This window comes from Homo sapiens, chromosome 1 (genome assembly GCF_000001405.40).
Source record: "Homo sapiens chromosome 1, GRCh38.p14 Primary Assembly".
Lineage (NCBI taxonomy): Eukaryota > Metazoa > Chordata > Mammalia > Primates > Hominidae > Homo > Homo sapiens.
The window spans coordinates 10,224,414-10,239,178 of record NC_000001.11 but is presented as its reverse complement, the minus strand read 5'-3'; the positions used below and the strand labels follow the sequence as shown (position 1 = coordinate 10,239,178).

The 14,765-nt window shown below is 42.2% G+C and overlaps 1 protein-coding gene across 5 annotated transcripts in view, besides 1 other annotated feature; it reads right to left on the bottom strand.

Annotated features, from left to right (window-relative positions):
• The window catches only part of KIF1B (kinesin family member 1B), a 171,034-nt gene that overhangs the window by 142,425 nt on the left and 13,844 nt on the right, over positions 1-14,765 (bottom strand). For 4 of the 5 annotated variants that reach the window (NM_001365951.3, NM_183416.4, NM_015074.3 and 1 more), the window contains exon 2: positions 6,745-6,929. In NM_001365951.3, coding sequence (NP_001352880.1) covers positions 6,745-6,850 — 106 coding nt within the window. In that variant the 5' untranslated portion in view covers positions 6,851-6,929. Of the gene's footprint in view, positions 1-6,744; positions 6,930-8,181; positions 8,416-14,765 lie in introns of those variants that run through there. The other variant, NM_001365953.1, reaches the window with a different exon arrangement.
• Positions 6,681-6,881: a silencer, noted in NCBI's record as "peak64 fragment used in MPRA reporter construct". NCBI's record gives its function as "represses an SCP1 promoter by STARR-seq MPRAs in K562 erythroleukemia cells {active_cell/tissue: K562}" and the evidence as "EXISTENCE:reporter gene assay evidence [ECO:0000049][PMID:32103011]".

Below are 14,765 nucleotides of genomic sequence, written 5' to 3'. Positions count from 1 at the left end.
AGTTGGGACCAGCATGGGCAACATGGTTTTTTGTAGAAACTCTCTCTACAAAAAATACGAAAATTAGCCAGGTGTGGTGGCACAGGACTGTGGTCCCAGCTACTGGAGAGGCTGAGGTGGGAGCACTGCTTCAGCCAGGGAGGGGGAAGCTACAGTGAGCCAAGATTGCACCACGGCACTCCAGCATGGGTGACAGAGTGAGACCCTGTCTCAAAAAAACCAAAAACAAAAAAACTGAAAGAAAAAAGTACCAAAAAAATCCATCAAAAGCAGCAGTATGCTGTGGTTAAGGAGGTAAGAATACAGATGACTTTTCTTTCTCGTTTATTATTCACAATGTTCATAATTTACATGCATTTACATTTATTTTCATGTGGTTATAGTAATTTATACTAAAAAAAGTATACAAATTTAAATGCATTACTTTCTTTTGGTGTTTTTTGTTGTTGTTGTTGTTGTTGTTGTTGTTGTTTTTGGATGGGGTCTCAATGTCTCACCCAGGCTGGAGTGCAGCGACACAAGCTTCCCTCACTGCAACCTCCACCTCCCAGGCTCAAGAAATCTTCCCACCTCAAGCTCTGGAGTAGCTGCAACCACAGGCGCGCACCACCATGCTCAGCTAATTTTTTGTATTTTTGGTAGAGACAGGGTTTTGCCATGTTGCCCAGGCTGGTCTCGAACTCCTGAGCTCAAGCAATCTGCGCATCTCAGGCTCCCAAAGTGCTGAGATTACAGGTATGAGTCATCACACCTGGCCTAAATGCATTACTTTCTGTATTTTTTTTTTTTTTTTTTTTGAGACAAAGTTTTGCTCTTGTCGCCCAGGATGGAGTGCAACGGCTCCATCTCAGTTCACTGCAACCTCCGTCTCCCAGATTCAAGTTATTCTCCTGCCTCAGCCTCCCCATTAGCTGGGATTACAGGTGCCCACCACCACACCTGGCTAATTTTTGTATTTTTAGTACAGATGAGACTTCACCATGTTGCCCAGGCTGGTCTCTAAATCCTGACCTGAGGTGACCCACCCAACTTGGCCTCCCAAAGTGCTAGGATTATAGGCGTGAGCCACTGTGTCCAGCCTAAATGCATTACTTTCTAAACTCTTCCTTTCCAAATCTCCATTTTGCCCTTCCTCCATCCCAAATTTTCTTTCTTTCTTTCTTTTTTCCTGAAACAGTGTCTCACTCCATTGCCCAGGCTAGAGCGCAGTGGCGTGATCACGGCTCACCGCAGCCTTGACCTCCAGGGCTCAAGTGATACTCCCACCTCAGCCTCCCTAGTAGCTACGACTACAGGTGCACACCACCACACCCAGCTAGCTTTTTTGTATTTTTTGTAGAGACAGGGTTTCGCCATGTTGCCCAGGCTGGTCTCAAACTCCTGGACTCAAGCACTCTGCCTGCCTCAGCCTCCCAAAGTACTGGGATTACAGGCATTGAGTCACTGCACCCACCCCCCAAATTTTCAATAGTGGACATGAAATCATTATTTGTATCAGTTACGCTGTGCGGCATTTGGTTTAGAAATGTATGCGTGAATGAAAAAGCCTATAAGACATATAATATGAGTAATAAACAGGAAAAAAAAGTCAGGGCTACTTCTATCCCAACCAAGATTGGGCACTGGGGAAAAAAAAGGTCCTGGCAAAGGAAGGTTGTTAAATATATGAACAAAATTCACCAAAGGGCAAGAGACAATTTGTGGGTAAAAATAAAGTAAAATATCACAGTTCAGTCACTTGATGGAGTGTACCTCATATTATAAGTGAAAACCAATTTTATCTACTTCCTGTTTTTGAGTGCATTTATACAGGTTTAATGTCTCCAGGTTTACACAAATAACCTAACCATAAATGTAAGCGGTTAGATCATTCACTTTGGCTCATTTCCCTTTTTACCAAGTAATTAGACAATAAGAAATGCTTCTCAAGTGGGAGAACCTTGGAATATAATGGGATATTATTGAACAGAGCCATTTGCATGTGCTTGGGACTCCAAAATGTCAAGACAGTAACATTTATTTGTGCCATGGAGAATATTTCCTCCAAGACCAGAAAGTGCTTAAATAAAATAGCTACTTCTCAGTTTTCAGATTTAGCACATTCCCTAAAGTACTCTTCATACTCTTCTACTTTTTCATAAGAGAGTTTATGGCAGAAACATTCTAGTGCATTCCATCTGCAATCAGTTATAATCCTTGTGAGCAACAGTCCAGGCCAGCTTGCCAGCAAAGCAGCCTTTTTAATGCAGCTAACACATGTGTACAGCATATTCATTTCCAACAAGTCTATGTTCAAAATGCATGCCCACTTCCATTCTAAGCCCAATGGTGTTTAAAAAAAAAAAAACAAGCCAATAATACTTTCTAAAATATCATCTTTCATACAAATGTTAAAAATCTCTCACTTAAAAATTACTTGGCATACATATTAGTCAAATTACTAAGAAATTGCCATAGAAGGCTGAAAACAGAAACAGAAAACAAGTAGAACATGGAAAATGCAAATATTCTACAGAAAAAAGTTCCTCATACAATAGATATAATGGTTCTCATATGATTAATTGCCTTCCAAGAACAGATACCTTTCAAAGGAACCAAACTGACTGTAAATCTCTGAGCCAGGACAAAGTATTTAGCTAGAAAACTAACCCGCATTTTTGCAAGGCTGATTAACCTACTGAGGATTTCTGTTTCAGTAGACTAATGCTAATTTAAAAGTCACAAATTACTCCTGCCGAAATTGTACATGCAGGGAAACAATGTGTTATAATCAGCTGAGGGTAGGAGTACCATTATCTAGTCCTAACACTGCCACTAATAAGCTGTAATAAGCTACAATTCTGAAAATTTTCCCAAATATACTATATGGGTTTTTGTTGTTGTTGTTGTTGTTGTTGTTGTTGTTTTGGGATGGAGTCTTGCTCTGCCACTCAGGCTGGAGTGCAGTGGCATGATCTCAGCTCACTGCAACCTCCGCTTCCAGGGTTTAAGCGATTCTTCTGCCTCAGCCTCCTGAGTAGCTGGGACTACAGGCGCGCATCACCACGTCCGGCTAATTTTTGTATTTTTAGTAGAGATGGGGTTTCACCATATTGGCCAGGCTGGTCTCAAAACTTCTGACCTCGTGATCCATCCGCGTCAGCCTCCCAAAGTGCTGGGATTAGAGGCTTGAGCCACCGTGCCCGGCCCAAATATACTATATGTTTAGTTTAAATCTTACATCCCAAGGTCCAGCTTAAATGGAATATCATCAATAAATCCTTATATTTGCTTTCTGCCAAACTCTCATTTATGCTTTTTTTTTTTTTTTTTTTTTGAGACAGTGTTTTGGTCTTGTTGCCCAGGCCGGAGTGCAGTGGTGTGATCTTGGCTCACTGCAACCTCCACCTCCCGGGTTCAAGTGATTCTCCTGCCTCAGCCTCCTGAGTAGCTGAGATTACAGGCACACTCCACCACGCCCAGCTAATTTTTTGTATTTTTAGTAGAGACGAGGTTTCATCATGTTGGTCAGGCTGGTCTTGAACTCCTGACCTCAGGTGATCCACCCACCTCGGCCTCCCAAAGTGCAGGGATTACAGGCATGAGCCACTGCACCTGGCCTATACTTTTTAATAATCCTTTTTTTTGGCTGGGTGCAGCAGCTCATGCCCATAATCCCAGCACTCTGGGAGGCCAAGGCAGGTGGACTGCTTGAGCTCAGGAGTAGGAGACCAGCCTGGGCAACATGGTGAGACCCCATCTCTACTAAAACTACAAAAATTTGCTGGGCATAGTGCTGTGCACCTGTGGTCCCAACTACTAGGGAGGCTGAGGTGGGAGGATCACTTGAGCCCAGGAGGCGGAAGTTGCAGTGAGCTGAGATGGTGCCACTGTACTCCAGCCTGGGTAACAAGAGTGAGATCCTGTTTCAAAAAATAAAATAAAATAATAATCCTTTGTTACGGTAATTAACACTTCGATCACTTTTTATCCTGTATTGAAATTATTTTGGCCGAGCACGGTGGATCACGCCTGTAATCCCAGCACTTTGGGAGGCTGAGGCAGGCGGATGACCTGAGGTCAGGAGTTCAAGACCAGCCTGGCCAACATGGTGAAACCCCATCTCTACTAAAAATACAAAAATTAGCCAGGTGTGGTGACAGGTGCCTGTAGTTCCAGCTACTCAGGAGGCTGAGGCAGAAGAATCGCTTGAACCCGAGAGGCAGAGGTTTCAGATCAGGAGTGGGAGACCAGCCACTGCACTTCAGCCTGGGTGACAGAGCAAGACTCCGTCTCAAAAAAAAAAAAGAAAAAGAAAAGAAATTATTTTAGTATGTCTAGTCTCTCCAACCATAAACTTTAAAAACTCTTTAAGGGAGGCTGGGTACAGTGGCTCATACCTGCAATCCCAACACTTTGGGAGGCCAAGGCAAGGATCACTCGAGCCCAGGAATACAAGACCAGCCTACACAATATAGTGAGTCCCCGTCTCTACAGAAAATAGAAAAAAACTAGCCAGGCATAGTGGCACATGCCTGTAGCCCCGGCTACTTGGGAGGCTGAGACAGGAGGATTGATTGAGCCTGGAAGGTCAAGGCTGCAGTAAGCCATGATTGCACCACTGCACTCCAGCCTGCGTGACAGAGAGAGACCCTGTCTCAAAAAAAAAAAGAAAAAACAAACAAAAAAAACAGCCAGGCGCGGCAGCTCATGCCTATAATCCCAGCACTCTGGGAGGCCAAGGCAGGTGGATCACTTGAAGTCAGGAGTTTGCGATGAGGCTGGCCAATATGGTGAAACTCCATCTCTACTAAAAACACAAAAATTAGCCAGGCATAGTGGTGGGTGCCTGTAATCCCAGCTACTCAAGATGCTGAGGCAGGAGAATCGCTTGAACCCAGGAGACAGAGGTTACAGTGAGCCGAGATCACACCACTGCACTCCAGCCTGGATGACAGAGTGAGATTCTATCTCAAAAAAAAAAAAAGTTCCTTAAGGGCAGGGTCCCATGGTATAACTCTGTGATCCCTACAGCCTAACATTACAGCAAACTTGCAAATCCGATAGAAGGGATGGAAAGGATACTCAAGGCAAAGCAGAGCCACTCGGCCTATTCCCTAGAAAGGTTTTGGACAAATTATGGTGGAAAAGCCACTAGGAATTCAGCATTGTGCTGAAAACAACCCTCTTTGGTAGCCATATATATAAGTAAAATATGTAATATTACCTCCAGTTTATAGTTGAGGAAACCAAAACTTGGCCAGGCGCGGTGGTTCACGCCTGTAATCCCAGCACTTTGCGAGGCCGAGGCGGGTGGATCACCTGAGGTCAGGAGTTTGAGACCAGCCTGGCCAACATGGTGAAACCCTGTCTCTACTAAAAATACAAAAAGTAGCCGGGTGTGGTGGCAGGCACCTGAGATCATGCCACTGCACTCCAGCCTGGGTGACAGAGTGAGACTCCATCTCAAAAAAGAAAAAAAAAAAAAAGCTTTATTGAGATACAATTTATATACCATAAAGTTCACCGATTTAAAGTATTCAATTCAATGTTGACTTTTGCATCTCTTTTTCTTTGACAATTTTTCATACGATATAATTCACAGAACTGTTGGCAATGTTGACATAGAAGAGTGAACTACAATGGTACAGCTGTTTAGCCTTCTACTTTTAAATTTTTTTAAATATATATACGGGGTCTCAAAAACAGACCCTTTTTTTGAAGCAGGGTCTTGCTCTATTGCCAAGTCTGGAGTGCAGTGACATGAATACAGCTCACTGCAGCCTCAACTCCTGGACTCAAGTAATCCTCCTGCCCTAGCCTCCCAAAGTGCTGGGATTACAGGCATTAGCCACCACACCCGGCCTTCAAATGTTTTTTTAAAAAAAGATTGTTGCAAGCCCTTATCTGTCAAGTTCAGAGAAGAGTATAAGCAGTGGAGCATTCAAAGTTGTATGTGAACTACCTGAAATGTGGGCTGCAATATCTAGCTAGATTTTGGTGGAACAAACATTTCCACCAGTAGACTCCTCTACACAGAACATTGGCAAATGGAGCACAAGCTAATGAGGTTAGAATGTGTACTTCAGCAGTAACTTGTGCCTGAAAGGGTGACGATTCTTCTGGTATCACAAAATTACAGATTTAAAGACAGTAGAGCCTACCTCTATTTTAATTGATAATTTGCCTATGGAACCATATCAAGAAATTTGGTAATGCAGGTATAAAAGAAACAACTTAAGTCATTTTTCACCTAAGCAATTCTATAGAGAAACAAACTATGAAGCAATTACTGATAACTTTAGTAATAATGTATAAGTTTACTATATATTATATCCATTGTTCAACTCAAAGAATCACTGAAAAGTTCTAAGATCATCTTGGCAAAATCAAGTATTATTTAAAATCTAGAAAGAAAAACAATGAATCTTGCAGCCTCGATAGGTATATTTCACATTAGGACTTGGCAAAAAGCACTGTTTATACCTTTATTATCATTAAAATTTCAACTTAATAAGCATAAACACTTGCTAAATTAGTTCAGTTATTCAGGGTTTCTCAATTGTACAGGGTAAAATAAATAGTCCATATTTAAATATACTATAGCAAATACCACAGAGGGGAATACATTCAATGGATCATTCAGAATAGCAAAGTTCAAAGTGTTAACATACAGATGTTCATCTATTCTGAACACAGCAAGACGACAGGGAAAGAAGAAAGGAAAGTAAGATACACAGCTGAGAGAAAACAACATGTACTCACTGGTCGAGTTGCCTTGCATCTGAATGATGCATTTGGATTCCTTGCTGGTCTCTCGAGAATTGAAGGGCCTTACCCGGACAGCCACCTTCACTGAGGCTCCCGACATTTTAATGGCCTTGTTATATATATATATGCAGTCCAGAAATAAAGAATCAAATCTTCTTTTGAAGTTACAGCCAAGTTTCCTTTGAAAAGAAAAAAATTCCATATGAGGTAGTCAGAATTAAAGCAAGAACTGGCTAACTTAAGCATAAGAACTACTATCTTAGTTCTATTTCTGTTTCCATTTATAAAAACGATATTCATCCCTTTTCTCCCGTGCAAATCTTTTGTTTTGTTTTGTTTTGTTTTTTAAGAGATGGGGTCTTGTTATGTTGGTTTTGAACTCCAGGGTTCAAGTGATCCTCCTGCCTCAGTCTCCCAAGTAGCTCAGACTACAGGCACACACCACTGTGCCTGGCCTCCCCGACAAATCTTATATTCCCAACAGTAAATTATTAAATAGAAAATTAAAGACTAAAATTTGTTTTCCCTTTCTATTATCTCCTTCTTATACCTAAAAAGTCCCTATTTATTAATAAAAAACGTAACTACAAAGTAACAGGTATCTCTCTCTCTGTGTGTGTTTCTGGATCGATCTTCAATAATAAATGAAAAACACAAAATGTTTATTGGCTAAAGAAGTTCCTTAAACAGATAACTTTCCACGTGCAAACCACTTACTACTTCTCTTTAAAGAAGTGCATTGGGCCAGGCATGGTGGCTCATGCCTGTAATCCCAGCACTTTGGGAAGTCAAGTTGGGCGGATCACTTGAGGTCAGGAGTTCGAGACCAGCCTGGCCAACATGGTAAAACCCCATCTTTACTAAAAATACAAAAATTAGCCAGGCATGGTGGTATGCGCCTGTGATCCCCGCTACTAGGGAGGCTGAGGCAGGAGAATTGCTTGAACCCAGGAGGTGGAGGCTGCAATGAACCTGAGATCCCACCACTGCCCTCCAGCCTGGGCAACAAAGCAAGACACCATCTCACAAAAAAAAAAAAAAAAAAAAAAAGGGCACTGAACTCTCCATACATTAATTATAGTTTGAAACATTTGGTTACATGATGTATATATATTGTGTAATTAAATAGCAAAGGACAAAGACACTTTCTAGTCAATTCGTTTAACTATACAGTGATTTCCTTTAACTTCTGGGTTTTCTTTTGTTTTGTGTTTTTTTAAGACGGAGTTTTGCTCTTGTCGCCCAGGCTGGAGTGCAATGGCACGACCTCGGCTCACTGCAACCTCTGCCTCCCGGATTCAACAATTCTCCTGCCTCAGCCTCCTGAGTACCTGGGATTACTGGCGTACGCCACCACGCCCAGCTAATTTTTGTATTTTTAGTAGAGACGGGGTTTCACCATGTCAACCAGGCTGGTCTCGAACTCCTCACCTCAGATTCACCTGCCTCGGTCTCCCAAAGTGCTGGGATTATAAGCGTGAGTCACTGCGCCTGGCCAATTTCCTTTAACTTCAAAGATCCCTCAGATATGCCACTGACTCATGGCAGAGTCAAATCATTACATTTCACTACTGAATGAAGTAATAGGAAAAATGTGAACATTTTTTAGAGGAATAGTTTCCCTCCCAACAGAACAAAGCCAACACTACTGTGTGAAAAGAATCCAAGTAAGTAACTTCTGTAAGAAACAACCGGCCGCGTGCGGTGGCTCACGCCTGTAATCCCAGCACTTTGGGAGGCCGAGATGGGTGGATCACTTGAGGTCAGGAGATCAAGACCAGCCTAGCCAACACGGTGAAACCCCGTCTCTATTAAAAATACAAAAATTAACCAGGTGTGGTGGCACACACCTGTAATCCCAGCTATTCAGGAGGCTGAGGCAGGAGAATCACTTGAACCCAGGAGGTGGAGGTTGCAGTGAGCTGAGATCGCACCACTGCACTCCAGCCTGGGTCACAGAGTGAGACTCCGTCTCAAAAAAAAAAAGAAAGAAAAAAAAAACAACCAATTTTTCTAGTTAGGAAAAACTCTACACTCTATCCAATATAAAATCTTTTTCAAGAATAACCAAACAAAGGAAAAATCTAAAAAAGAAAAGTAATTACGAATCCAATTATCAGGAACCACAACAGAACTTAAATCTGACCAATATTTTTTCCAGATAATTAGGAATGCTAACCTCCAACTACACAACACCATAACCGATGTGTTCCCGAGAACAGGATAAATAAATAACATAAAAACCAAAGTCACTCTCTACCTCAATGCCCTACCCGTCCAGGCTACTGTACAGTGGCACAATCATAGCTCACTGTAACCTTGAACTCCTGGGCTCAAGTGATCCTCCCACCTCAGCCTCCAAAACAGCTGCGACTACAGGCACACACCAACACACCCAACTAATATTTTATTTTATTTGTAGAGACAAAGTCTTGTTATGTTGCCCAGTCTGTTCTCAAACTCCTGACTCAGCCTCCCAAAGTGCTGGGATTATAGGTGTGAGCCACCACGTCTGGCCCCTAATTTTCTTTTCTTTTTTTTTTTTTTTTTTTTTTTTTTTTGAGACGGAGTCTCACTCCATCACCCAGGAGGCTGGATGGAGTGCAGTGGCGCGATCTCGGCTCACTGCAAACTCCGCCTCCCAGGTTCACGCCATTCTCCTGCCTCAGCCTCCTGAGTAGCTGGGGCTACAGGCGCCTGCCACCACGCCTGGCTAATTTTTTGTATTTTTTTTTTAGTAGAGATGGGGTTTCACCATGTTAGCCAGGATGGTCTCGATCTCCTGACCTCGTGATCCACCCGCCTCAGCCTCCCAAAGTGCTGGGATTACAGGCATGAGCCACCGCACCCGGCTGTCTGGCCCCTAATTTTCTTAATAGCATCATCGCTATTTGAAATTCTTGTTTTCTGGAGCATGTCTATTGTCCATCTCTCACACTGTCTGTCTCTCACTCTACCACCAGAATGCTCAGAGATCTCCTGTCTCGTTTGCTAGCACTTACAACAGTACCTGACATAAGAGCTCAGTAAATGTTGATGAAATGAATGACATACATTTCCCAGTTGTGAGAATTATCTGTTTAAGTCCTTTGCCTAGTTTACTGATTTTTTTGTTTTTTAAATGTTTACATATTTTTATATTAATCTTTTTCTATTTGCTACAATGTTTTTTCTAGTCTGTTTGCCATTTTATTTTAAACTGATGGTTCTTTATTTAAATATCAAATATTTTTATGATCACATGTATCAAATGAAAACTTAGCATTTATTAACCTTCCCAATCAATGGAGCATGACTTATATTCACTAGTTGAGTACTATGCCAAGAGAATGAATGACACATTCAGAAAAAGCAAGACATAAAACACATTGCAACCTCCCCGAGTTCCCTCTGAAATACAGCCATCATCTTAACTCTCCTCATGTCCAAAAAACCATTATCTTCTCCCCTAAACTAGCAATCTCTGCCAATCTTCCCTATCAACAGTATTCTCCCAGGCCCCGATACCATAAATGTTGGAGTCATCTTTGTCACTACTCTTTGAAACCTTGTATTATTACCAACATTATTCACAAAATACCATATGGAAACTTCTAAGATATAAAGTTGCTTTATTCTATCCCTCCCTTCCTCTCATTCCCACTGATATTACCTCAATCCATGTCCTTACTACCACATACCTAGGATACTTGCAATAGCTGGACTGTTCTTTGGGCTTTTAGTCTTTGATCCAATAGTCCTTAAACAGAGTTGTATGAAACAGAATGACACGGGGGCCTTTTGAAAAACAAAGGAGTCTAGACTCTCCCAGTCTAGATAGGCCCCAGATATGGATTTGTTGATTTGGGTTAATTTTCAAAGATTATGTTACAAATACCCAGCTAAAAAGCACTGCTTTAAACCACTGCTTAACCCTGTTGCAAGATCAACCCCTCTAAAGCATGACTTTCAACGTCACTTCCAATAGCAAGAACGTTCTCTTGTTCCTAACATGTAAAAAATACTGCAAATTGATTTTTAAAAGTCAAATATATAAATTCATAAGCTTACGATACTTTTTTTTTTAAAAACTTCATTAATAGATCAATGGTTACAGAGGGAAGAAAATGCATTATCCTGAAAACAGCAAATAAAACAGAATTAAGCATACATCTAGTCTGTATAGCCTGTATAAAATATTCCAGGATAACCAAATAGTCAATGAAAGTAAGTTCTTTTTTTTCTCTTTTCTTTTTTTTTGAGATGGAGTCTCACTCTGTCACCCAGGTCAGGCTGGAGTGCAGTGGCATGATCTTGGCTCACTGCAACCTCCTTTTTCGGGATTCAAGCAATTCTCCTGCCTCAGCCTCCCGAGTAGCTGGGATTACAGAAGCCCACCAGCACGCCCGGGTAATTTTTGTATTATTAGTAGAGACAGGGTTTCACCATGTAGGCCAGGCTGGTCTCAAACTCCTGACCTCATATGATCCGCCCACCTCAGTCTCCCAAAGTGCTAGGATTACAGGTGTGAGCCACAGCACCCGGCTGAGGGTAAGTTCTTTACAGAAAAATTCTAGCTAATAAATGCAGAAGAAATGAAAGAATTATAGAATGTTACCTTTTCCCAACTCTTTTTTTTTTGAGATGAAGTTTCGCTCTTGTCACCCAGGCTGAAGTGCAGTGGCACGATCTTGGCTCACTGCAGCCTCAACCTCATGGGTTCAAGCGATTCTCCTACCTCAGCCTACCGAGTAGCTGGGATTACAGGTGCCCAACACACCACCAGGTTAATTTTTGTGGTTTTAGTAGAGATGGGGTTTCAACATGTTGGCCAGGCTGGTCTCGAACAAAGGAAATACACAGCTTATTAAGTATTCTTGCCCCACTCCCCTTAAAATGAAAACTGTTTAAAAAACCAAACCCTGAATAAAATCAAGCTTTAGATCTGACTACCAGTTTAGAAGACATATAGGGAGGAAAGAAGCAACTTAGATGACACATCAAAGATATAAACAGGCAAATTCAGTATATGAAACAATCTACAGAATAAATCAACCAAGTTTCTTCAAACAAATAGCATAATTGGGGAGACAGGGTTTTATAACCCTGGGCTTGTGGGCCAGGCACGGTGGCTCACGCCTGTCATCCTGGCACTTTGGGAGGCTGAGATGGGTAGATCACGAGGTCAAGAAATCAAGACCATCCTGGTCAACATGGTGAAACCCCATCTCTACTAAAGCACAAAAATTAGCTGGGCATGGTGACGTGCACCTGTAATCCCAGCTACTTGGGAGGCTGAGGCAGAAGAATTGTTTGAACCCGGGAGGCAGAGGTTGCAGTGAGCTGAGATCGCACCACTGCACTCCAGCCTGGTAAGAGAGCGAGACTTCATCTCAAAAAAAAAAAAAAAAAAAAAAGAGAGACTTGCGTTATTTATCAACCAAATACAATGTATTTTTTTGTTTGTTTGTTTGTTTTTGAGACAGGGTCTCCCTCTGGTTGCCCAGGCTGGGGAGTGCAGTGGCATGATCTCAGCTCACTGCAGCCTTGACCTCCTGGGCTCAGGTGATTCTCCCACCTCAGCTTCCCAAGTAGCTGGGATTACAGGCACACGCCACCACGCCTGGCTAGCTTTTTGTATTTTTAGTAGGGACGGGGTTTCGCTATGTTGCCCAGGCTGGTCTCGAACTCCTGGACTCATGTAATCTTCCAGCCTCAGCCTTCGAGTGCTGGGATTACAGGTGTGAACCACCACACTCGGCCTAAAAATACATTTTTTAGATAATCAGGTAGTCTGAAGATAGGCTGGGTATTAGATGATATTAAGGAATTTGTTAGGGGATGACAGAACAAGATTGCCAAAATGTTGATAGTTGTTGAATACTGTTGATATTTAAATTTTAAAAAACAAAACAAAACTTTTTTCTTTTGTGTTCTACCTAGGACCTACCAAAGTGTTGAATGTTACAAACAAGACAAGAAAGGCTGAAACCTCCTTGGTGGGCTTTAGATATAAAGTACTATGTATTTGTAACTATGAACCAAAACATTAACATCTCTAATACCTAATGTCCCCATACATACACACATACATTTTTCTATAGACTACTCGACTCCTCTACCTAGCTATCCTTCCAGCATTTCATTCAATCTCACACAACTAAAGCCGAAACCTCTATCCCCAAAACAATACCAGCTCTTTGGCCTCCTTTCTATTTCTTTTTAATGTTCTCACCATTCTGCTGTTCTCACACAGGCTAAAAGCTTGCTTTGTCTATCCATCTAATCAGCTTATATCTATAAAATCTCTCCATTTCTACCACCACCATTACCTTTTAGGCTTTCAATACTTCTCACCCAAGGCCTTCTTAACCAGCTTTCTCTCTCTTCCTCCTACCCTATCCATACTACACAATATCCCCATTTTCTTTTTTAAAAATATTTTTTATTATCTTTACCACAGTTATCCAATTAGGTGAATTATCCCTTTTCATCTGCCCTATCTGTACCACATAATATTGCCAAGATTCACCTTCCTGAAGTACAGATCTATTTCTATCACTGTCCACTTCAAAATCCTCCAAGTTCCCCTCCTGTCTACGAAGCAATGACTGAACTCCCCACAATGGCATTCAAAGTGTTCTGCAACATAAACCACCTATTTTTACAAGCCCACATGAACACTGCCTTCCAGCCACATTCTTTTACAACCACCCACCAGAGGACTTCCAGAATGCATCCCAAGTTTTTCTGCCCCTGTGTTTTTGCTCCAACTTTCCCTTTCCCCACTGTGTCCTTTGTCTTGTTCTTTTTAAATTCCAATTTATTCTTCCAGGACCTTCTCACTTGCTCCTGTCTAAAGTCTTGATGGATTCTCTCCACCCCAAAACCAAATACAATTGCTCCTCTATTTAACACTTTTCAAATCATTGACCTTACCCAAGGCAGAATAAATTACTTTTTTTATTGTTTTGTTGTTTTTTTCAGACAAGGTCTTGCTCTGTCAAGGGAATCATGGCTCACTGCAGCCTCAACCTCCCAGGCTCAAGTGACTCTCTTGTCTCAGTTTCCCGAGCAGCTGGAGCTACAGGGGTGCACCACCATGCCCGGCTAATTTTTTGTTTGTTTGTTTAAGACAAGGCCTCACTCTGTCCACCCAGACTGGAGTGCAGTGGAACCATCTCAGCTCACTGCAGCCTCAGCCTCAAGTAGCTGGGACTACAGGCATGTCCCACCACACCCAGCCTTAGTCAAGTTTCTAATCCTCTACAAGAGGGGTCCTCAACCCCTAGGCCACAGAGTGGTACAGGTCTGTGGCCTGTTAAAAACCAGGCCACACAGCAGGAGGTGAGCGGTGGGCAAGTGAGCATTATTGCCTGAGCTCCTCCTCCTGTGAGATCAGCGATGGCATCAGAGTTTCATAGAAGTGCAAACATTACTGTGAACTGTGCATGCAAGGGATCTAGGTTGCACACTCCTTATGAGAATCTAATGCCTGATGATCTGAGGTGGAACAGTTTCATCCTGAGACCATCACCCCAACCCTGTCTGTGGAAAAACCGTCTTCCACAAAACCAGTCCCTGGGGCTAAAAAGAATGGGGACAGCTGCCCTACAACACAGGATGGGTCTTGAATACAATAGTTATTTTTTTTGGTTGAATTCCTATTTAACTGGATGTCAACAAACTAACATTTAAACAGCATTAAATAAAAAACATAAATTGGGGCCAGGCATGGTTCCTCACGCCTATAATCCCAACACTTTGGGAGGCTAAAGTGAAAGAATTGCTTGAGGCCAGAAGTTCAAGACCAGCCTGGGCAACATATTCAGACACTCTCTACCAAAAAACATTTTTGTTTAAATTAGCTGGGTGTGGTGGCATGCATCGGTAATCCCAGCTACTTGAGAGGCTGAGGTGGGTAGATCACTTGAGCCCAGGAGTTGGAGGCTGCAATTAGCCATGATTCCATCACTGCACTCCAGTTTGGACAACAGAGCCAACAACATCTCAAAAAAACACACACACAAAACAGG